The 25,917-nt window shown below is 38.5% G+C and overlaps 1 long non-coding RNA gene and 1 pseudogene across 3 annotated transcripts in view; one reads left to right on the forward strand and one right to left on the reverse strand.

Moving 5' to 3' along the window:
• Window positions 1-25,917, reverse strand: part of FMO1-AS1 (FMO1 antisense RNA 1) — a 131,518-nt gene that overhangs the window by 16,828 nt on the left and 88,773 nt on the right. The gene's annotated exons all lie outside the window — the stretch shown is intronic.
• Window positions 541-24,364, forward strand: FMO6P (flavin containing dimethylaniline monoxygenase 6, pseudogene; annotated as a pseudogene). Its single transcript, NR_002601.1, has 7 exons — window positions 541-1,445; window positions 9,279-9,320; window positions 10,427-10,569; window positions 12,361-12,560; window positions 14,711-15,066; window positions 16,943-17,015; window positions 23,959-24,364. The product of NR_002601.1 is annotated as a flavin containing dimethylaniline monoxygenase 6, pseudogene (transcript).

Consider the following 25,917-nt stretch of genomic DNA (forward strand, 5'->3'; position numbering starts at 1 on the left):
GTTCAGAGACCACAATTCTGTCTTTTGAGTTCACTAGTTTTACAAGCTCATCTATAAGCGTTAGTTCAGCAACTCAGATCAGGCCCTAAGTTTCCAGAAATTTGAGCTACTTTTCACTGTTGGCACAACAAAACGTTTCATTATAGTCCAGGTGCATAGCCTTTGTTTATATATTCTATATTTCCAAAGCAAACATAAATGAAAGAATCATTGTTCCCCTAATCTCCCAGGAGTTTCACCTTACAGCTCCAGTGGCCATGGCAGTCACTGTTTTATATTTTTTGTAACAAGAACCAAAGACTTCATTCTTGCCTTTTTCCTACCCCTTTCTTTTTACTTCACCCATGCCTCCCCTGTTCTTCTCTTATCCTTACCACACTCAGTCCTTCTCTTTCAGATTTTACTATGGCTCTATACCATTAAAAATACAAGAAAAAAAAGGAATTTTACTTTAAGAATAACTCCTCCCCCTTCCCCAGTTTTCACATCAAAAGACATTGTTAAATGCCATTCTCTTCCACATTTCGAGAACTGCTGATTCTCTGGGGAGAGAAAGGTGATTGCTTAAGAGGTGAAGTCCCTTAGAGCATTCAAAATGAGGAGTGATTCTGTACAGAGGATATCATGCAGCAGGCTGGATGTCTAGTTCCAATTCCTTTATTTGTTACCTCTGAGACCTTGAAGAAGTAGTTTCTAGTCTCAGCATACCAAAGCGTCATCTGCAATTGAGAGCATTGGATTGATGATCTTCAAGGTCCTTCCTGCTCTAGCATTCACTGAATCTGCTATTTTTGACATATTGAATAATCAGAAGCAGCCAGTTTTAGAATCTTATTATAGCAAAAGTGGTAAAAATAATGAGCATATACTATCAATGTGCATCTATGTCTTCTTATGTTTGAGTGAGGATCCTGATACATAAACCTTGGCTGATAATTTCTACTGAAAAAAATCGTAAGTATTAAAGACACTCTTCTGAAGATGTTCTCTCCAGACTCTGCTACAGGCAATCATGAGCAAGAGGGTTGGCATCATCGGAGCTGGAGTCAGTGGCTTGGCTGCCATATGGTGCTGTCTGGAGGAGGGGCTGGAGCCCACTTGCTTTGAAAGGAGCGATGATGTTGGAGGCCTGTGGAAATTCTCAGTGAGTGGCACATCATTAGAACACCAGTGGAAGGAGATGGATTCCAATGCAAATCAAATCTGATCAGTTCTAATTCAGATTTAGAAGGCAGATCACAAAAGCTCCAAATCTGGAAAGTAAAATCTTACCTCTCCAATCATACTAATGCCCAAAAAAACTATTTCATACCAGCAAAATTTGTCCTGAAAAGGACATTTTCAGCTCATTAAACATCATCACCTGCATGGTGAAATCCAGATCTCCAAGCTGTAAAGGGCACTAATGTTGGTAATTAGTCAAAAATATACCATGGGCTTCCCAGGTAAGTGAAACAATTCTATTCTTTATTGCTCTTAAATGCCAGGAACACGACTAGAAAAGAGACAAACAAACCTGGACTGAGATCCTGAGGTCAGAAGTCCTGAGTTCTAATTTCAACTTGTAGGTTTTCTAGGCAGATAAGATTTCAGTCCAGTTGCTTTTGTTTCCCTGGACCTCAAATGCTCATTTGTCAAATGCAGAGGATATGATTCTATAATTAACTTATGTCTATTGGGCAGATAGAAATTATTATAGATGATGATTGTGTGTGCGGCTGTTGAATAGCCTATCAGCTCCAAATCCAGAGGGAAAAATTATGGTCTTTGCCATTTGGGCTCATTGTAGAAATAATATAATTAGGAAATAGTCCTTGTAAACACATTTTTTTTTTTAATTTCAAAGCCAAGTTTGGAGAAACTTCTAGTTCTTCTGTCCTGGATTTCCCAGCCATTGTAATCAGTTGTCGATGATACATATTTGGCTTGAAAACATATTCACATCATTCATATTGTAACTACTTCCTGTCCTGGTCTCAGTTACTGCTCTGCCTGCGCCAATAGCCTCCTCCAATAGAGTATATCAGTGCTAACTTAGAACACATTTTTATTCTTCTCCAAGCTTTTTTTAAAAAAATTTGTGGTTTTGTAACCCTGAAAGCACTCCATGAGATATAAGGTCATTAATTTTTATTTCCCAGTAGGGGGTAATCAAGAGTTAATATTTTTCAAGAATTTAATTTTCCCTATTTACATTTGCTCAGGGAAATGTGGACAGCTTAGAGTAAATCATAAAATGGCTTTCTACCATCTCCCTAGTAACAATTAAATGATGCTTGAGCATCTATTCTGGTAGTTTGTGCTAAGTACTGGGATGACAAATATGGAATATAATCACTCCTTGTAAATGGTTCCATTTCATTTGATTAAGCAAGCCATAATATAATTCCGTAATCCTTTGATAGCAAATGGGCAAAAACTCATTTGATAGCCGAACCTCTTCTGAAATCGTAAGGTTAAATACCGTGAATTGGATCAACATGAAGCTAAGTCTCACCTTCTGTTGCACGGCAGAAATTTTATTGCATTTGACAGATTGCTGCCCCAGATCTCACTAGGAGTATTATGGAGCAAAATCCAAAAATGTACACATTCCAAAATATATCTGGCCCTAAGACTTTTAAAATAAGAGATTATATAACTACAACAACAAGATAGACCTTGTCACCATCAATTCAATGGACGAGTGCCTCGAGCGTTTAGAAGAGGGTGGACTACGGAAATCTTAGTAGGTCAAAGAAAACCTCCCACAGGGATGACACTTAGCCTTGAAGGATAACCCCAGACAAGCAAAATAGAGGACCACCTGTGACACAACTCCTAGAGAGTGCATTTCCCAATAAAGTCTGCGAATGGCACTCCATAGGCCTATGCAGTCATTGGCAGTGTGCCAGCACCAGGTTAAGAGAGACCAACAATCCATGAAAGGCACAGAAAAGGCAATGAACATGGTGTGTGCAGAGAGGGATCCATGAGTTATCCAATATAGCCAGATCAGAAAGTTTACTTAAGGAAGCAATAATATGATACAAAGATCAGTAAGATTCAAAGTTGGATTCTGAGTTATCCACAAGAGGAAATTCTTCTTTTCCATAAGGTCATGTCTATAAGCAAAATTCTACTCAAAGTCCTGGTGAGGATATGGACCCATACAAATACTCAAAACTTTAGCCTCCTCCACATACCCCAGCCCTTCCTTCTTTTCTTAGAAAAGTTGCTTGGCACAATATATAATCAGAGAGGGATTTTTTTTATGTGTTACATAAGACTTTATCTTGTAAGCCTTTTTTAGAAGGTGTTCTAGCAGACAGAAACGTGGTAATTCTGAACTTTTCACTATTTGCTTTTTCTGAGAAATGAAAACCAAATGGGATTTAAATACTAGCAGGCTGAATGTGTGTTTTAAGTTTCATCCACTCCTAAATAGGGCCTCGTGTCCTCAAAAGATTTCATTACTGCTGTAATAAGAAGTTGCTCAACAGCCAGGTGCGGTGGCTCATGCCTATAATCCCAGCACTTTGGGAGGCCAAAGCGGGTGGATCACGAGAGGTCAGGAGTTCAAGATCAGCCTGGCCAACACAGAAAAACCCCATCTCTACTAAAAACACAAAAATTAGCCAGGTGTGGTGGTGGGTGCCTGTAATCCCAGCTACTCAGGAGGCTGAGGCAGGAGAATCTCTTGAACCCAGGAGGCAGAGGTTGCAGTGACCTCAGATTATGCCACTGCACTCCAGCCTGGGCAATAGAGAAAGACTCCATTAAAAAAAAAAAAAATGCTTACCAATAGGTTAGTAGCATTTTGATTGCAAAAGCTGAAGCCAGGACTATTTGAACTTTTTCCCACTCATTTATTCCTTTGTTCATTCAATGAATACATACTGTGTACTTTATGTGTAGGGTACTATATTAAGCATAAGCTGCAGATAAGAGGCCAGCCAGCACTTTAAAAGCCGTGAGAAAACAAGTATCAGAATAACTATAAGTGACTATATAATTAGGGCAATAAGGATAATGGGACCTTAGTAAAACTAAAGATGATTTGGCAGTAGCTGAGAGGGAAGGTAAAGAAAGCCATGACAAAGTTGAAGGCAACTTTTGAGCATATTTCAAGGGCATATTTAGACAAGGAGATATGGGACTCATAAGCAGAGCTGGAATAGGAAAGAAGATCAAGGTAAACTGCTTAGATGCATGTACAACATTCTGAAATTAACCTCTGACTTTGCCCTCAAGTTACTTATGTTCTCGTGGGAAAGATGAGAGATGAACACGGTTATCATCCAAGACAGATGGTGCCCACAGCTGCTTAGATCTCTGGTTCCAGGGTAAAGCTCCCTCAGCTAGAGGCAGAGTCAAAGTTGAATTTCCTCCTTACTGGCTCAAACCACACCTCATATTGAAATAATAAAAATGCATGCTCCCTGGAGCAACTGACTTGTTATCTAATACATTTGCTTTTTTGTGTTTGTTTGGAGAACAGTCTTTTCGGAAAAATTCCAAGGAGCTGTAGTGTACATACTCTTCTCTCCTGGTGTTATAATTGGCTGAGGTCAAGGGGCAAAAAAGCAGAGATTCATTCAAGATGGAAATATTCCAAGGCCTTAGCATCTGTTTCCCAGAACAGAGTCTTACATTCTTTAACCAGGCTCCATCCCACAGTTCAGCCCTGCCTCCTTTCAACAGGCAGCTGAAAAAACCTCCTTCCCACCTCTCCTTCTTCTCACAACCATCAGTAGAAGGCGCTAGCTGTGGGTGAAAGGGAAGCACTCAGCCTGCCAAACTGCTGGACATGAGCCTTCACCCTTTTTCTGACCTCCACAAAAATTTTAAAAAGTTTAAATTCCTGTGCTTCCACGCTTATGAGAAATACAGCAACCATGAATAGAGGAAGATTATGTTTTCAACTTGAGAAAAAATACTGAGGCTTTGGGCAGCCCCCCACTTCCCCACGGGGACACAATCCTCTCAACCCTTTCCAGCACTTTTTGTTTCCCTCTTCCAGAGGTCATCTGGTGTGAGAGGGAGAGACACATCTTGAATCCAGCAGCAACGTGACATTCCATCTCTTTCCCCCCATTGCACAAGAGTCCTTCCGGACCTCGGGAAGCAGAAGCTGCCAGCTCTGAAATGTATTTTCAAGGCAGCACATTGTGTGCACTTTTACCCTACCCTCACAACTGAGAGGAAATGTTTATTTTCAATTTAGCTTTTGACTGCTTCTAAAAAATAAGCCACTTTTCAATTACACAGAGGCTTTAAAATGAAGTGCCAAGATTTAACACATGTTCTAAGGGCTCTGGTTTCCTGTGTTTCTTTGGTGAGGAGTGAAGTCCAGCAACTGGTGAGCCAAAGAATAGGATTCATTTACAACAGAGCAGTGGTTCTCAAAGTGTGGTTCCTAAACCAGCCACATCAGCATCACCAGGAACTTGATAGAAATGCAAACCACCCCAGACTCCACCCCAGACAGATTGAATCCGAAATTCTAAGAATAGGGCCCAAGAATCTACGGTCTAGGGAGCTTCCAGGCGATTCTCATTACGCCAAAGCTGGGAAACCACTGCAATATTGGGTTGTTGCCAGTGAAGAGTTTGCTAAACTCCAAAAGCAAATAAATAGGCTAGAAGTCAGAGCCTCTTCTAGACAGTTTTGTTTTTTGTTTTTTTTTTAACCTGAGTATAAGATCAGAACCAGTGGTGGCACAGGAGAAAGCAAAAACCACTAAGTGGCTATAAAGACAGAGCTAACACTGAGGGTAATTACAGTAAGAGGATTCACATGGAAAGAGCTCCAGTTCTGTGCCAGGTGCTACGCGAAGGGCTTTCCATTCCTTATCTTACTGAGAGCTTTTAATTTTTGTTTACGCTTTTAAACATGAAAAGGGTTTTAGTCAACCAAGAATTGAACCACTGTGTTCACTGAAGGGAACACAATTCTTGGCTTTCTCTTTAAGCTTTCTTATTCTCCCTAGGACCACACAGAAGAAGGCAGAGCCAGCATTTACCAGTCTGTATTCACAAACTCTTCCAAAGAAATGATGTGCTTTCCAGACTTCCCTTATCCGGATGATTACCCAAACTATATACACCACAGCAAGCTCCAGGAATATATAAAGACATATGCTCAAAAGAAGGATCTTTTAAGATACATACAGTTTGAGGTAGGGGTCTCATAACTTGTACTGTTGAAATTAAGATATGTGTGGGTTAGAGAAAAAGGAGGCAGCAAACTATTATAAAAATTAGAGCCAAATGTTTGGGCACCTCAGTAATCAAATGTTGGCTCTGATTATAAAGCATTCATGCATTGATTTTTTCTCTCCTAGACTTACTAGTTCACTAGTCTCTGAGAGCTTTCAGACTACCTTAGAAAATGGAGGCAGCTAGCCCATCATTGTCCACTTTCCACCCTCATGCTCTGATGTTTTGGAAATAATCCAAAATGCTTTAGTATATATTAGGAATTTTGTCAGTTCAATGCCAATGAGTTGTGGTTCAAAAAACCAGAGCATTTGGTAGGGTTTCTCCCATTACATTATGAAAAGGTTAACAACTTAAATGGGAAATATAGTCATTGCCCCCATCTTTACCCACTCAGTTCATTAGTTTTTTTATTAAAAAGGTGAGATTTCAGCATTGTTTCTGCGAGAATAATGTTTTACATTTATTTGGGACTCTTTATTGAGCATTTCTGTCTGTATGTTTGGAACTCTTAACCTCAATTAACTGCTGCTAAATGCAGAACACTTGCATATAGTGGGAAAAACAATCAGCAAAATTATGAACCATGGTGATATTTACATCATTATTTTACCTGGAGTAGCCCCAAATGTATAGTTAAAATAAAATTTTCCAATAGTCATTTTATTCCATTCATTCATTACATTCATTTGCTTCCATTATGGTGTTAATATCAACAAACATTAATGAAGTTCCTATTGTGTGCTTGCATTGTGCTATGTGTTATATGTAAAAGAAAAAGAGGTCTAAGACTTAGCTCTCAAGAAGTTATTTCAAAATAAATATGTAAAGAGTAAGTAAAAAGATTCCAGTAACAATTTCAATCAAAGAGAAAATTTTTTAAAGCTCTTTATGATTTGTTTATAAATAAAACAATGCTATGGAGATCATGAAGCAAGAGGCAACACTTTGGGGGAAGGTATTTTCTAGAGGAGGTAAAATTTAGTTGTATTTAGTAGGTGTTTTAGATAAATGAGTGGCATGAGTAAAATTAGAGAGGTGGGAAAATGCCCTGCTCATTTGGAGAACAGTGGGCAAACCAAGTTGGTTAGGAGGGAGATATATATGCTAGGATGAGATATGGCCACATATATCAGTAAACTAGTGTGTACTGTGACTTTGAAAAATAGAGGATTATTTTGCAACCATGTAAAAGAAGTCCAAAGAAGGGACATCCAGAGCTTATGTGATGGCACCAAAGTTATCAAAGATTCAGCTTCACCCATCTTAGCACGTGGCCTACATCATGACGTTTGCCTTGTGGTGCAAAACAGTTGCTGAAGCTTGAGCCGTCACATCTGCCTTCTAGGCAAAAAAAAAAAAAAAAGTAAAGAATGAAGGGCAAAGGGATGTTCTCTCAGCTGAATCAGCTCCCCTTTTACAAATTCTCCTGAAAAAACTGTCCAACATTGCTTATATCTCACAGGCCACCCTAGTTGCACAGGAACCTGGAAAATGCATCCCTTTTCTGTGTATGTTGTCGCTCCAAACAAAATCAGGGTTCTGTTAGTAAGAATGAAGGGAGAATGGACATTAGGGAAGCAATTTGCAGAATATGTTCCAGAAAAGTCTGTGGGAATAACAGAAAATAAAACTAAAAGAGTAAATTGGAACAAAATTGTATGGACTTAATAGTAATCGCATTCAAAATGTAGAATAAGTTTTAGAGGCTGTGAAGTAACAGAAATTGAGCAGTGAATTGAGCAGAGAAATTGAGAAATGAATATAGTCCTTCAGGAAGATTAATCTGACAAGCAGGACAAAGGATGGCTTGTAGGAAATGGGAGGCTGAAGACAGGCTAGGTATAGGTTCTTGCCGTAGTCCATGCAAGGGAGTGATAAGGACTTGAATGAAGGCAGTGTTAGCAATCATGGAAAGAAAGCGTGAGATTGGGAGATAAATACTGTTTAAACATGAGGCAAGGATGGAGAAATAACAAGGAAAACAAGTCATGGATTTGAAGCATAAGTGGCTGGGAGTTTCATGTCATCATTCAAAGAAATAAGAAAGTCAGAAGCCAGTTTCAAAGGAAATTTAAGTAGGTCAATCAAAACCTGCTACATATGAGGAAGTATTAGGTGGCCCTCCAGATGGAAAGGTCAAGCTAAACTGGATAGAAGAGAGACCAAGGATAGATGTATTTGTATATTCATACCACAAAACTTGCTAATTTTTTTTTTTTTTTTTTGAGACGGAGTCTCGCTCTGTCGCCCAGGCTGGAGTGCAGTGGCGCAATCTCGGCTCACTGCAACCTCCGCCTCCCGGGTTCACACCATTCTCCTGCCTCAGCCTCCTGAGTAGCTGGGACTACAGGCGCCCGCCACCACGCCCGGCTAATTTTTTGTATTTTTAGTAGAGACGGGGTTTCACCATGCTAGCCAGGATGGTCTTGATCTCCTGACCTCGTCATCCACCCGCCTCGGCCTCCCAAAGTGCTGGGATTACAGGCATAAGCCACCGCGCCTGGCCGTAAAGTTGCTATATTTCTAAGATAAGAGTATTTATGCAGAGCAAAAGAGATGCCAACGATCAAACCTTGAGATATTCCCATACTTATTGAGTAGATGGAAGATGAGGTCAGAAAAGGAGGAAGCCATGTCAGTAGAGGGTAGCCATAAGAAAATAACACAGATTTGTTATATGACATCATTCACAAAAATATTCAGTGTGATTTACCCCTAAATCAACTAACTTGATGTCAAAAAGTAAATGTACTCCAGTGAGTAATTTTTCTTGTGAGATTCAAAGACTCACTGAAGATTCACTGTGACTCCAATTTTACTATCTTTCTATACATTTCTGAATGACCAAGAGAGCTCGTAACAATTATTTCCTCCACAGAAACAAGGCAAGAAGGAAAAAAACTTTCACATGTAGAATTATAAATGGAAAAATAAATTTTCTAGTTTTCTTAAAGACCCTGGTTTCCGGTATAAAGAAATGTCCCAGCTTCTTAGTCACGGGCCAATGGGTTGTTGTTACTGAAAAGGATGGGAAACAGGAATCTACTATTTTTGATGCTGTAATGATTTGTTCAGGACATCACGTATACCCCAATCTGCCAACGGATTCCTTTCCTGGTAAGTTTGGAAAATATATAATAATCTAGGGACTTATATGCAAACATCAAGAGTTAGAAACATATCTTTCTATAGGTATTACATAATGATTATTCTTAGATTTCAAAAGAAAAAAATTAAGTTTAATGATAGGATATAGTAATAAATAGCCTCATAAGTCCTTATGTTAAAATAATCAAGGACTGCAAGCCAGAGATCAGACAAACACAAGTTCCTGTTTTACAGACAGTAACTCAAATATAAGTTCTAACAGCACACGGGGTCTCCGAGCACAGTTACATTAAAAAAAAGTAGAGTCCAACTGCCAAATGGTTTAAAGAAAGACACGTTTACTTATGTTATTTATAGGAGACTCCTAGGTTTCTAATTTCATCTTCATCCACAATTTGCAAATAAACTTTAGAAATCTCAGTGATTTGTGTGTGGGTACACACATGGGTGTGTGTATAGCAGCATACTTCATTACCATCCGAAAGTGGCAAACCTCAAATAAATACAATATACATGGAGGCTTCCTTCCATTTTTCCTTCCTTCCTTGCCACAGGAACACAATCTACTCAAAGATATTAGAGTTTCCATGTCTAGGTATGATGTCCATAGGCCGAGGAAAATTAAAGAGTGAAGGTTCAGGAGGAATATAAGATTAAAACTCTTAATGTTAACGGGCAGCATATTTAATGTTTATGAGCATGGGATCAGAACACCTGGCCTCAACTTACTATTCCACTAGTTCCTTACCACTTACCTTCTTTGTCTCAATTTCCTCTTCTTTTAAAATAGGGACAATAGCCCACCATGCAGGGATGTTATCAAGATTAAATAGTTAAAACGTGTAAAGCATTTATCAGAGGATCTAGCCCACAGAGTTAACTTAATAAATATTAACCATTATTATTATCGAAACATACATTCTCATGCCTTAAGATTTTTTAAGGAACTAAAAGTAAGTTTTAGGGGGCTTAATGTCAAAAAATGCTAAATGGATAAATGCACTTCAACTAGGGAATTTTTTAATTACAACTGATAATAGGTTTAAAAAGACACAAAGAAAACATCTTCATAATTTCTGAAAATCAGTTCAAACAACTTGCCATGTTCCACTTAGGCCTGGACCAGTTTCGAGGCAACTACCTCCATAGCCGGGATTATAAGAATCCAGAAGCCTTCAAGGGGAAGAGGGTCCTCGTGATTGGTCTGGGGAATTCGGGATCTGACATTGCTGTTGAGCTCAGCCGTCTGGCTACACAGGTACATGACGTAAAGGTTTTGGGAAATAAACCTAAGGTAGGGCTGTGCTACTAAATCAGTAGCCAAGGCACAGAGGATGGTACTTCTATGTCACACCACAAGAGATCCACCTCTTCTATGTGGCCCTTCAAATCAAGGAGGACTTGAGACATCCTCCATGTGAAGCCAGGTAATGTGGCCCGTGCTAGTAAGGAAGTACATTCCACTGAATCCAGAAGTAAGTGCATGAGTGCGTGTATGTACAGATGAGTGTGTATGTGTGTATTTCTTGTTTTCATTTTATATTCTGATCACCTCCAAATAGACTAGTTCCTGGTCAGGCTTAATCTTTATTTATTTAACAGTATTTATTATAACGTATCATGCAAAAAGCACTGTGTTTACCACTCTGAAGTTCTGAAAGATATGCATGACTTGGTATTTACTAACATTAATTCAATCAACAGCAGATGCTCAACAAATATTGGGCACTTACTATGCTTACTATGTGTCAGAACTATGATAAACTAAAAATAAATGCATAAATAAGTTAGACTAGTTCCTGACTTCAAGAAAGAGTCAATGGATGGAGATGGAGTTGACAGGTACACACAGACTATCACCAGAGGAGATGGTGAGTCTTCCAGTAGAATTAGGTGTGGCAATAGCAACACAGGGAAAAGAGAATCTAACTTAGCCTGGATGAGGTCAAGGAAGACTTCCCAGAGGACTCCAAGCTAAATCATGTATCATCGATAGACCCTAAAGAAACAACATATTTTTAAGAAAACAGGTTCTCAATAAATAAATTCTTAAATGGATGTAAATAAAACCTAAATTTTTTAAACTAAAAATTCCCTTCAGTTATCACAAAGTTAAAGTCTATTTTGCAAAGACGGTAAAATAGATAAGCAGCCAGACTCATCTCAGGGCTGAGGCGGTTGCCATGGTTTGGGTTGCTCAGGAGAAGTCCTTGGGGTATGTGTATAGGGAGAACTGGAAAAGGCAACCAGAGACAGAGAACAGAATTAAATCCTTGACATCTCGTCAGCCTAATTTCAGCTAGAGATTTAGCTACACTTTTCCCACACCTAGTCCACTATCACCAGCCACAACCACTGGGGCTCACTGGATCATCTGGTCCCTACCAGACTTGCCATCTTAGTCTATGAGTATGTGAAGATTAAACCATCACAGTTGAACACAGAGCCCTGTTGTTCCTAGAGGTATGATTCTAATCCTTTCAACAACTACACACCAGCCCTCAGGGGCAGTGAAAGAATCCTGTCTCTACTAGTTTAAATTTTAGACTTTAAAAAAATTTTTTTTTATTTTAAGTTCTGGGATACATGTACAGAACATGCATAGGTCTGCACATGCCATGGTGGTTTGCTGCACCTATCAACCCTTCATCTAGATTTTAAGCCCCACATGCATTAGGTATTTGTCTTAATGCTCTCCCTCCCCTAGCCCTCCATCCCCCCGACAGGCCTTGGTGTGTGTTGTTCCCCTTCCTGTGTCCATGTGTTCTCATGATTCAACTCCTGCTTATGAGTGAGAACATGCAGTGTTCGGTTTTCTGTTCCTGTGTTAGTTTGCTGAGGATGATGGTTTCCAGCTTCATCCATGTCCCTGCAAAGGACATGAACTCATTCTTTTTTATGGCTGCTAGACAACTTATTTAGACTCGCCTTTTAAAAGTGTTCCTACTTGGATATTGAGGAAAATGCACGGAAGTGCCCAAAGAAGTGTGTTGTGTTTGCTTATTTCTTACAGAGTAATGCTGAAATCTGTGTTGCTTTTCCCCACCAGGTCATTATCAGTACCAGAAGTGCTTCCTGGGTCATGAGTCGGGTCTGGGATGATGGCTATCCTTGGGATATGATGTATGTTACCCGCTTTGCATCCTTTCTCCGGAATGTCCTTCCTTCATTCATCTCTGACTGGTTATATGTCCAGAAGATGAACACGTGGTTTAAGCATGAGAACTATGGCCTGATGCCTTTAAATGGGTACTTAAAAATGGAAATTTTTTTTATTCAAAAAAGGGGGGCACTCATTTAATGAATTTATTCTCTCTAGAACTTACTTTTGTTGTCTCATTGAGCCTAGAAACATTAAACTCAAGGTTTCATAGGTGACGGAATATGCCCAGAGACCACGTATGGCTTGGAAAACTTATTGAAATTAGTCCAGTACAGAAAGGGTATGGAAAAATCTGAAATGGAGATGACGCAGGCAGATAAATCACCCTGACATGCATGATGCATTTGTGGTGGCTACAAGCTATAGCATAGAACTTTGAGGACTGAAGAAACTCAAATTGGTTTTTGGAAGAATATCTTGTCCGTGCTTATGGGTGTATGAAGACATCAATAATAATACTTGCTTCTCAAGATGGTTGTGGTATTCAATAATATAAAAATATAAAAATTGCTTTCTAAATGATAAAGCTTTAAAAAAATTGGTTCTTCTTAGTCTCAATTTTTCTAATGTGCTTCAAAGGAGCAAATAACAAAATAGTGTTAATCAACATGTCTCAGCAAGTAGGAAGTCTCAAAACAAAAGTGCACACTTCCTCCACCCCTGAAATGTTGACATTTTTGCAGAACCATCAGGAGGCATGGAACACATAAAGTAATGGAGAGTCACAACTAACGTGGCCTGTAAGATTAGTCAGATTCATTTATTTACTTCTTTATAGAGACAGGGCCCAACATTTACTAATTAGGAAGTCATTCCAGGTAGAAGAATCAGCATATCAATAGAAAAAAAGAATATTTAAGTTGGTAAGAAAAGAAAGAATTGAGAAATTTTATCTCCTGGCCCATGCTAGCCAAAAAGTTTCATTGTGTTTAGAGAAAGATGGTAAGAAAAAGGAGGAACTGTAAATCAAAAGAGCAAATGCCAGATTTAGGAGCTAAACTGTCAGTCCAAAGCACTTATACTACCAAGTCTTGCAGGCTGCTATAACCCTTTAAAATATGTTGATTTTATGCATTTAAAATTATGTTTAACACTGGGGCTTGCTTGACAGTAGAGGGTGGGAGGAGGAAGAGAATCAGAAAAAAATACTTATCAGGTACTATGCTTATTACCCAGGCGACAAAATTATCTATACACCAAACCCCTGTGACACACAATTTACTTATATAACAAACCATGGACCCCCAAACCTAAAATAAAAGTTTTTAAAAATTATGTTTAATATAGTAAGTCCCATAGCTTGAGCTGGTTAAGATTTTTTATCTTGTAAGAGTAACTATAAATTATATTTTGGCCTTGCCATTTAGACAATTAAAACATAGTTTTAGAAATTCATTCATTCTGAAAACTAAGCTTCCTTTTGGAAAGGGTTCCAATTACCCTAAGTTTCTGGAGGGAGAAAGGGGGAGGAAAAACAGGTTTCATTGTGGTCTATGTTTTGCTACCTTGTAAGGTAAAAGAAGAGGTTGCAGGATTAGATAAACAGAAAATGATGTGGAAGTATAGAGACAAATTTCAGGATTTACAAGGTTTCTTTGTGTCTGAGATACTTGCAGGAAATTCCGGAATCTCAAAGGAAACTTAAATCAAAATGAAATATATTGTCCTGAAAAATATTATTCCTAGAATTTTGGCAACTAAAATGCAATATCAAAGTTGTTACACTTTTTTGTGGACACAGCTGATGAAAGAAAACCAAACATGGCAATAAAACTTCCCACCACTGCAAGTCTGATTTCTCCATGTAAGACAAGACGTTAAAGTTATGATAATAGTGCACTTATAACAACAGTGCTTGCATGTGCCAGGAACTGTTTTAAGTGCTTTAAGGATAATTGATCATTTAATTTTCACAACAACCTATGAGGAAGATTCCATCATCATCCCCATTTTACACATAAAGAAACAAATACAGAAAAGTAACAACTAGTAAGAGATGGAGCTAGGTTATGAACCTGGGCCATCTGCTTCCAGAGTTGGCGTTCTTAACCACTTTAGTATGTCTATAAATTAGTTTTAGTCTCATTTAGGAAAGGAATTGCCATGAGAGAAGAGAGTCAGTGGCACTCATGCTGATGTTTAACTGCTTGATGTTATTTCAATGTTATGGGCTGTTGCAGGTATTTCTTGGAAATGAGCTATTTACAGCAAGGGTGTTTGCCTCTCATTGCTGTAGTTCCCTGAGAAAAGAGCCTGTGTTCAATGATGAGCTCCCATCCCGCATCCTGTGTGGCACTCTGTCCATCAAGCCCAGTGTGAAGGAGTTCACGGAAACCTCAGCTGTGTTTGAGGATGGGACCATGTTTGAGGCTATCGACTCTGTCATCTTTGCAACAGGCTATGATTATTCCTACCCCTTCCTTGATGAGACCATCATGAAAAGCAGAAACAATGAGGTTACCTTGTTTAAAGGCATCTTCCCCCCACTAATGGAGAAGCCAACCTTGGCTGTGATTGGCTTGGTTCAGTCCCTTGGAGCTGCCATCCCCACAGCAGACCTGCAAGCCTGGTGGGCTGCTAAAGTATTTGCAAGTAGGTGGGCCATTCTGTCTTTCATTCATTTTATCAATGAACATTTACTGAACACCTGCTATATGCAAAGCACTGTGCTAGGGATACAATGAGAACAAGACAAACATGTTCCTTGACCTCTCAAGGCTTAAAATGGGGTGTGGGGGATGCCATAATAGGGGAAATTTGGGGGGGTTCTAGTGAGGGGAGTTGGACTGTTGCACAGAGCAAACAGTATACAGGAAGTCATAAAGGTGAGGGAAAGCATGAAATGTGTAAGGACCCAGAAACATTTTGGTGGAAGGGAATATAAAGCAGAGGCAGGGAGTGGCAAGAAATATAGGTTTATAAGCCACGTTAAAGAGCTTAAACTTCTCATAGGGATTAAGGACTTCGCAAGATTTTAAGCAAGAAAAAAATAGCAGAGGATAACTGCAATGTCAGGCTACATTATAAAGATTGGAAGGGCCCTGGTGAGGGTTGGAGGTGTGCCAGAAACCTCACTGGTGTCAACTTCTGTCAGAATAACAAAGTCAGGCCACTCTGATTCTCATGACAATCTTCTTCTTCTCTCCCTCTACTCTAGACCTCATGGTCTCCAGGGGCTACAAGTATGCTTATGTGAGGAAATCAAGAATATGAGGATTACATGGAGAAAGGCAATGTCTCAAATATATTAATTTACTCCAGTCATACTGAATATTATCATTATTATTGAAAAGTGTTCTTTTATTCAGGTATTCTCCAAAATATTGACCAATATAGGTATAACTTACCTAACATAACTAATCCATAAAAACTTACACTATTGGTAATTAACAAACCATTACAATCATGGAATATATGTATATATATTGTCTAAAACTTTGTAGATAAATAAATTTCTATTTCAAATACACCATGAAAGATCATTATTTAAATAAACCCCATCATGAAATCTTTTGTAAAGGTGCTCCCTGCAAAATACTTCTATTGCCTTTTTCCTTCGAAAGGCACAACAATGCCAAGAGCCTGGGGTATTATGAGAAGACTGGATATAGTTCATAAACCTAAGAAATTTACATGAAGCAAATGGTATCATTTATTTATTCAGCAAATACTTACTGAACACCTACTATGTGTCAGGCTCTAACCTGGCACTTAGGACACAACAACAAACGAAGCAGAACAAAATTCTGGCCTCTTACTTTCTAGCAGGGTGTCCAGCCAATATCAATCATAGGGTACTACCAGGTTGACATAAGACACTAACGATGACTGGGAAATATTCATGCACTGCAAATTTTAGAGTAACTTTCTTCCACTGTTACAAAGGCAAATAAGCTACCATCACCAGTTAAAAGAAGTTGCATTGATGTAGTGAAATTCACAAAAAGCTAAAACTTGTCTGCTGCCCCTTAAAACACCTTGCATAGTTGCAGAAGATGTTTAAAATCCTATGCTTCCTTCCATTACCTCATTTAAAATGGCAGAAACCTTAAAGGGAACTGTTTTACCAGATTCTTTCTTCAGAGAAGTTTTAGGAAAAGGATACAGAAAAAAAAGGAAGAAATTATTAAGCTATTATATGCATGAAGTGTACTGAGCACATATGTTGAGGATTAGGTCCTCTATAATGTTACCGAAATAAGAGACTGAGTGATTTGAAGCTACAAATGTCTCTGCTGTCACTATCTCACTACAGGCCAGCTTTGCCATTCCCAAAGGTTCATTAACTTTTCAGATCTTTGTTTCTATGAACTGGTATTTTGCTAAAGATATCAAAGACATCTCCAGCTCCTCTTAATACAAAAGTTTTCAGGAATACAGTTTATAAAAACCAAATGATTTCCATCATATGTCATTATATATTTCTGATTTGTGTTTTTCAATATTTTTCTCTTCATTTCTTTTCTAGACTCATGTACCCTGCCAACCACGAATGAAATGATGGATGACACTGATGAGAAAATGGGGAAAAAACTCAAGTGGTAAGCAGCTAACTGTACTTGCTAATAGAGCAAGTCCTAAAATGTGCCTTTATGTGTAGAAAAACATTAATATGCTTTAATATTGTCATTAGTCAGAGTTTACATTTTCTGAACACTTGCAATAATCAAAAAATGTTTAGATAGTAAACAGTCATCACACTTCTCTTGTGTAACTCAAGAATAGAGGTTTTCTATCAGGGATAATTTTGCCCTCCAGGTGACATATGGCAAAATCTGGAGACACTTTTGGTCATTGTGAGTGGAGAGGGCATGCTATCAGCATCTTATGAGTAGAGAACAGGGATTCTGCTAACCATCCAACAATGCAGAGCACAGTTCACCAAAACAATTATCTGGCTCAAAATGTCAATAGTGCTGAGGTTAAGAAACAACTCTATAAATGACTACAGTTGACCTTTGAACAACACAGGTTTGAATTATATGGGTCCACTTATACATGGATTTTTTCAATTAACATAATGCAGATTGGGCATGGTGGCTCACGCCTGTAATCCCAGCACTTTGTGAGGCTGAGGCGGGCGGATTACCTGAGGTCAGGAGTTCGAGACCAGTCTGGCCAACATGGTAAAACCCTGTCTCTACTAAAAATACAAAAAAAATTAGTCGAGTGTGGTGGTGTGCACCTGTAATCCCAGCTACTCGGGAGGCTGAGGCAGGGGAATTGCTTGAATCAGGGAGGTGGAGGTTGCAGTGAGCCAAGATCGCGCCACTGCACTCTAGCCTAGGTGACAGAGTGAGACTCCATCTCACAAAAAAAAAAAAAAAAAAATGCAATTTTTTGGAGATTTGCAGCAATTTAAAAACTCAAGGCCAGGCGCGGTGGCTCACGCCTGTAATCCCAGCACTTCGAGAGGCCGAGGCGGGTGGATCATGAGTTCAGGAGATCAAGACCATCCTGGCTAACATGGTGAAACCCCGTCTCTACTAAAAATACACCAAAATTAGCCGGGCGTGGTGGCGGGTGCCTGTAGTCCCAGCTACTCGGGACGCTGAGGCAGGAGAATGGCGTGAACCCAGGAGGCGGAGCTTGCAGTGAGCCCAGATTGTGCCACTGCACTCCAGTCTGGGCAACAGAGTGAGACTCCGTCTCAAAAAAAAAAAACCTCAAAGATGAATTGTGTAGCCTAGAAATATTTTAAAAAATTAAGAAAAAGATGCCATGTATAAAATATTTGTAGATACTAGTCTATTTTATCATTTACTACCATAAAATATACACAAATCTATTATTAAAAATTAAAATTTATCAAAACTAAATGCATACAAACTCTTAGACTATACATGGCACCATTCATAGTCAACAGAAATGTAAACAAACATAAAGATGCAATATTGTCATAACTGCATAAAATATAGCACATAATGTGCTAGTATAATAATTTTGCAGTCACCTCTTGTTGGTATTGCAGTGAGCTCAAGTGTTTTGAGTATCTACTTAAAATGCTGTGTGACATTAGTCATTTTCACCTGAGCAGTTCATATCTCCAGTAAATTCTGCCTCACAGTAAAAAGTGATCTCTCAAGGTTCTCACATATTTTTATCATGTTTAGTGCAATACCTTAAGCCTTTAATAACACCATGGGCTCCATATGAAGTGTCATTAATGATGTTGGAAGTGCTCCCAAGAAGCAGAGAAAAGTTATGACATTATAATAAAAAAATTGAGTTGCTTAATGTATACTATACATTGAGGTCTGCAGCTATAGTTGCCCACCATTTCAAGATAAATGAATCCAGTGCAACTATGCCAGCAGGCATGAAATCTTGCACTTTTTGTAAAATATCTTTTTATTTTGGATTGAAAATGCAGCTTTTTATGTGGGTGCAGGATTGCTATAAGAAAGTATACATATAGACTCTAATATAATTTGAGAAAAAGTGAAGTTATTATATGACAAAGCAAAAGGAAGGTGAAGGATCTAGAGCTGGAAAAGTTAATGCCAGCAAAGGATGATTTGATTACATCAGAAAGAGTTTGGCTTCAAAAATGTCAAGATAACAGGAGACACGCATGCTGCCAACCAAGAAGAAGGAGATGAATTCCCAGATGTCATTATGAAAATCATTGAGGAGAAAGGATTTCTGCCTGAACAGATTTTTAACACAGACAAAAGTGCCCTATTCTGGAAAAAAAAAAAAAAAAAAAAGCCACAAAGGCCATTTATTAATAAGGAGCAGAAGTGAGCACCAAGATTAGGCAGGAAAGAATAAGCTAACTACTGTTTTGTGCAAATGCAGTCAGATTTATGATCAGGATGGCCCCTACCTATGAAGCTACCCCCTCAAACCTTGAAGGGAAAAGATGAATATCAGCTTCCTATCTTTTGGTTATACAAGACCCTTTTTCTGGATTAGCTCTGTCAATGCTTTGTCCCTGAAGTCAGAAAGTCCTTGCCAATAAGAGACTGCCTTTTAAAGTTTTTTTGATATAGACAATGCCCCTGACCACCCAGAACCCCATGAGTTCAACATGGAAGGCATCGAAGTAGTCTAATTTCCCCCAAACACAACATTCTAATTCAGCCTTTATATCAGGGAGTCATAAGGACCTTTAAGGCTCATCACATACCATACTCTATGGAAAAGATAGTCAATGCTGTGGAAGATAACCCAATAGAGAGAACATCATGAAAGTCTGGAAGGATTATACCATTGAAGATGCCCTAATTGTTATAGAAAAAGCCATGAAAGCCATCAATCCTAAAACAACATATTTCTCCTGGAGAAAACTATGTCCAGATGTTATATATGACTTCAGAGGATTTACAACAGACCAGTCACAGAAATCATGAAAAAGATTATGGATATGGCAAAATAAAAAGGTGAGGGTGAAGGGTTTCAAGATATGGATCATGGAGAAATTCAACAGCTAATAGACACCACTAATAGACACTTTTAATTCCACACTAGAGGAACTAAAAGATGATTTGATGGAGATGAGTCCTTCCAAAGCAGTGCCAGATGAGAACGAAGACATAGAAAAAGCCATGCCAGAAATAAATTGACATTAGATCATCTGGCAGACAGTTTCCAGTTATTTAAGACTTCTTTTGACTTCTTTTATATAACATGGACCCTTCTATGATACAGGCACTGAAACTAAAGCAAATGATAGAGGAAGGATTACTACTATATAGAAAATTTTTAGAGAAATAAAAAAGCAAAGTCAGACAGAAATTATAATATATTTCCATAATTACACCAATGGGCCTGCCTCTCCTGCCCCCAATTCTACCTCCTCCATCTCTTCCGCTTCTGCCACCCCTGAAACAGCAAGACCAACCCCTTCTGTTTCTCCTCCTCCTCCTCAGCCTACTCAACATAAAGATGATAAGGATGAAGACATTTATGATAAACCACTTCCACTTAATGAATAGTAAACATATTTTTTCTTCCTCATAATTTTCTTAATAACATTTTCTTTTCTCCATATTACTTTATTGTAAGAATAGTATTTAATACGTATGACATATAAAATATGTGTTAATCAACTGTTTGCATTATTGGTAAGGCTTCCAGTCAACAGGTTATTAAGAGTTAAGTATTTGGGGAGTCAAAAGTTATACATGGATTTTTGACTGCAAGAGGGCTCAATGCCCCTAACCCCTCAGTTCTTCCAAAGTCAACTGATATAGGAAGTTTCTTTACTTTTTCAAGCATTTAACATTGCATTGATATGTCAACCTAAAGGAAAACACTGAGGCAAATTTAATATAAAAAGAGAATTGATTTGGGCCAAGTTTGAGGACTGCAACCCAGGAGCACAGAGTCAAATTGCCCTGAATATGCACTCCGTTGGCAGCAGTTACAAGTAGGTTTTTTAAAGGAAATACAAAAGAGTCAACTTCTAAGTTGTTTACCAAGAACTTACATTAAAATTATATAAGCTATTGATTGGCTATATACTGTTCTTCGTATCACAAATTCTACGAACATGAAGATGATGAGTGAGACAGCTAGTCAGGAATAAAAATGCCTTTTAACAATTGCCGCCAGGCATTGGTAGAGGGCAGCATGACAAGTCCCATACACGTGGCTCTCTCAGCTTGATAAATTTTGCATACCTCACATAGTGCAAACTACTCTGAGCTATTTTTCTTCTCTCACATTGAATGCCACAATGTAGTCACCCATTCAGGGCCTAGAGAAGAAAAGAAATGGAACCCTCAGATTCAACAAAACCTCTCCTGCACAACTTCAGCCAGTTGACGAACAACTTGCAGAGTTGGGCACTTTTATGTGCTAACAATTCATGCAGCTTGATACCCTTTCCTTTAGAGCCCAGTAGAAATAAAAATGAGGAAATAGAGAGGTTAAAATGTTCATCTTATTGCTTAAATGATAAGCTGCTCTTCAGAGTTTCAAAAAGCAAATTACACCATATTCCAACTAAAAGAACTATAGAGGCGGAAAGGAGGTGATCTCTTTTCTCTCTGTCATAAAAGGTAATGGCCAACACCCCTATAACAAAAGACAGGTTAACAAGAGAAAACGTGACAGATTTATTACGTGCACATGTGTGCATGAGAGCCTTACAAAACATGAACTCAAAGGAGGGCCAGATCATTCATGTTTAAATATTCTCTTCACTGGGGTTAGGGGAGATGGAAGTGTAAAAGTAAATGATTTTTCAGAGGAAATTAATAAGTCCAAAGAACACAGATTAGACCAAGTTTCTCTGGGCTTTGGGGGAGGTGTAATCACCCAACAGATTCATCTTGCTCACTGCCCAGAAAAGCTGATGCCCTGAGAACAGCAGGTTTTTCCAATAGAGAGAGTTTAATAAACACACAGCTGTCAGAGGCATTTGAACCAGAGTGACTCCATCTTGAATAGGGGCTGGGTAAAATGAGGCTGAGACCCACTAGGCTGCATTCCCAGGAGGTTAGGCATTCTTAGTCACAGGATGAGAAAAGAGGCCAGCACAAGATTCAGGTCACAAAGACCTGGCTGATAAAACAGGATTCAGTAACGAAGCTGGCCAAAACCCACCAAAACCAAGATGATGAAAAAAGTGACCTCTGGTCGTCCTCACTACTCATTATATGCTGATTATAATGAATTAGCATGCTAGAAGACACTCCCACCAGCACTGTGATAGTTTACAAATGCCATGGCAATATCAGGAAGTTACCCTATATAGTCTAAAAAGGGGAGGAACCCTCAGTTCTGGGAACTGCCCATTTCTTTCCTGTAAAACTTATGAATAATCCACCCCTTGTTTAACATGTAATCAAGAAGTAACTATAAGTATACTCAGTTGAGCAGCCCATGCCACTGCTCTGCCTATGAAGTAGCCATTCTTTTATTCCTTTACTTTCTTAATAAACTCGCTTTCACTTTATGGACTGGCCCTGAATTCTTTCTTGTGAGAGGTCCAAGAACCCTCTTTTGGGGTCTGGCCAGCTAAACGGAAGGACAGGAGTTTATTACTACTCAAATCAGCCTCCATGAAAATTCAGAGGCTAGATTTTTTTAAGGATAGTTTGGTAGTCAGGGGCTAGGGAATGGGGAATGCTGATTGGTTGGGTCAGGGATGAAACCATAGGGAGTCAAAGCTTGTCTTCTGGTCTTCCTGGGAGGAGACCACATGACAAGATGAACCAGTTTACCAGTCTGGGTAGTGCCAGCCGGCCCATCAGAATGCAGGGTCTGAAAAATATCTTGAGCACCAATGGTAGGTTTTATAATGGTGATGTTATCCATAGGAGCAATTGGGGACTTCTGACTGCATGACTCCTGAGCCCTAATTTCTTATCTTGTGGCTAATTTGTTAGTTCTACAAAAGCAGTCTGATCTCCAAGCAAGGAGGGGGTTTGTTTTGGGAAAGGGCTGTTACCATCTTTGTTTCAAAGTTAAACTGTAAACTAAATGTCTCCCATAGTTAGCTTGGCCTATGCTCAGGAATGAATAATGGCAGCTTGGAGATTAGAAGAAAGATGGAGTAATTACATTTTTTTTTTCACATTTTTTTCACTGTCACAATTTTTTTAAAGGTGATTTCAGAGGTAACATCACAGGACATGGGAGACTAAAGGGAGGAAAGTATGTCAAACAAAGGCTGTCCTGTTCTGCAGACGAAACCTCACAGAAAGCAACTCTCAGAGTCAGTAGCCTATGATGAAAGTTTCTCTGTCAGACATTCAGCAGTGCCTGACTCTCAGTCTCTCTCTCCTGCAAGTTAATCTTTCCTAGAGTGGGCAAGGGAGGCCTCCGAGAAAGCCTAGTTTCCATCTTCTGTTTACTTCCTTTTATTTTCTCCACAGATAAAAATCTCCTTCACAAAAGGCAGCTTTTCAGGGCTGTTTCTGTCTGCAGGCCCTCTGAATAGCCATCTCAAAATCTGTCAACGAAGTGTATATTTTGCAGTAAAATATTTTTTGTTTTCTTTAGTATGAAACAATTTATATTATTAGATTACAGGAGTATTAAAACCATCCATGATCTCACTTTTAAACAAACCAATCTGAAAGTCTAACATTGGGGCAGATTCTAAGCAATGTCTTATAAAGAATAATTATGTGTTAATGAGTAAACTAAGTTAATTAGTCTCCTTAAACCAGAGGGTCAGTTTACTCCAGGCCACATGGTCAAAGGCAAAAGTCCAACATTACATCAAACTCAAATAGAGATTAGGAAGGAGGAGAAAAGCAGCTCACTTAGCTAAAGAAAAAACAATAAATTCAATTTTGTGGAAAAGGAGGGCATAAATGGAGGTGCTATCTAAAATGTTATTTTTCTGAAAGAAAAAATAAGAAATTAATGCTCCTATTTGCAACTGTAACACTTATTCCAGTATGTTCTCTTCTTTCTTCATGTTTGGCCAGAGCCAGACTTTGCAGACAGATTACATCACATATGTGGATGAGCTGGGCTCTTTCATAGGGGCCAAGCCTAACATACCATGGCTCTTCCTGACAGATCCCCGCCTGGCCCTGGAGGTGTACTTTGGCCCTTGCAGCCCATACCAGTTTCGACTGATGGGACCAGGGAAGTGGGATGGGGCCAGAAATGCCATCCTGACCCAGTGGAACCGGACAGTGAAGCCAACCAGGACAAGAGTTGTCAGTGAAGTTCAGCGACCCCATCCCTTTTACAATTTGCTTAAAATGCTTTCATTCCCATTACTCCTTCTGGCTGTTACACTTACATTTTATTAATGAGAAAGTCTTTGAGGTCTCAAAATTCAGCATAGAAGTGTAATCACACAATACAACACACACACACACACACATACACACACACAATCACAACATAGTTCCTCTCTCCTTTCCTGAAGATATGAAAATCAGTCTTGGCCCATTTGAATTAAAGTATAAGTAAAATGGAAAATACTCAGCCTCTCTCTCTCTGTTGGGAATCTGTTCTCTAAAAGGCTTTTCACATGCTGAATTGGCAAATTTGGGGATGCTTAAGATAAGACAGGAAGTTGAATAAGCATGAGCACAGATTTTCAGGCTGAACAAAGTTTAACAAAATGTAAAGGCATTTTATTTTGTCCATTATAGTATATTAACCAATGTATTTTTCATATTAACTGAAGTTATTGACATTAAATCAACATAGAGAGATAAGTTTATACCAATACAACAACGAAGATAAAATGAACACATTGCTTGAAAGATACATACTGCCAAAGCTCTCCCAAGAAGAAGCATATAACCTGAATAGACCTAAATCTATTAAAGTACTTGAATTTGTAGTTTAAAAACTCTTCCACAAAGAACAGGCCAAGAACCAGGTCTTCACTGGTTAATTCTGTCAAACATTTGAGAAAGCAATATACCAACTATATGCAAAATTTTCCAGAAGATTAAAGAGGACAGAATAATCCTCAGCTCATCATAGCCCTGACACCTAAACAAGACAAACACATTCTAAAAAAATAAAATATAGATCAATATCCTTCATGAAGATATATGCAAAAATTCTTAACAAATGTTAATATAATCAAACAGTTTATAAAATGAATAGCATAACCAAGTAAGAATTATTCTGGAAAAGCAATGTTGGTTTAATAGTCAATGTAATTCACCACATTTGTAAACTAAAAATGAAAAACCATAGGATCATCTCAATAGATGCATAAAAAGCATCTGACAAAAGCCAACATCCATTCCTGAAGAAAACTCTCAACAAAGTGATAGAAGGAAACTTCCTCAACATGAAAAAGGGCATCTATGAAAAACCTACAGCTAATATCATACTGAATGGTGGAAAACTAAACGCTGTATTTCTAAGAGCAGGAACAATATAAAGGCCTTGGTTCTCACCACTTCTAGTCAACATCCTACTGGGGTTTCTAGCCAGTGCAATAAGGAAAAAAAAAGAGGAATAAAAGATATCAAAAGTGGAATGGGAGAAGTAGAACTTTCTTTATTCTTAGACAACATAATTGTCTATACAGAAATTATTTTGAAATCTACATAAAAATTACAGAACAAATAATTATATTTCTATATACTAACAGTAAACAGTAGAAAATTAGAAAATTGTAAACTATTATTTATAACATCCAAAAATATGAAATATTTAGGATAAGCCAGCATAAGAAAGGTAAAAACCATACACTGAAAGCTAAAAAACATAGCTGAGAGTAATTAAAGGTCTAAATAAATGGAGAGATACACTATATCCTGGGTTGAACCACCGATATTGTGGTGATGTCAATTATCCTCAAGTTGATCCATAATTTCAATGCAATACTAATCAACCCCCTAACATGCTTTTTTATAGAAATTGAAAACTGATTCTAAAATGTATAAGGTATTTAAAGGACCTAGAATTGTTAAAAAATAACTTTGAAAAGGCCGGGCACAAAGGCTCACGCCAGTAATCCCAGTATTTCGGGAAGCTGAGGCAGGCGGATCACCTGAGGTC

Source organism: Homo sapiens, chromosome 1, assembly GCF_000001405.40.
Source record: "Homo sapiens chromosome 1, GRCh38.p14 Primary Assembly".
Taxonomy (NCBI): Eukaryota; Metazoa; Chordata; class Mammalia; order Primates; family Hominidae; genus Homo; species Homo sapiens.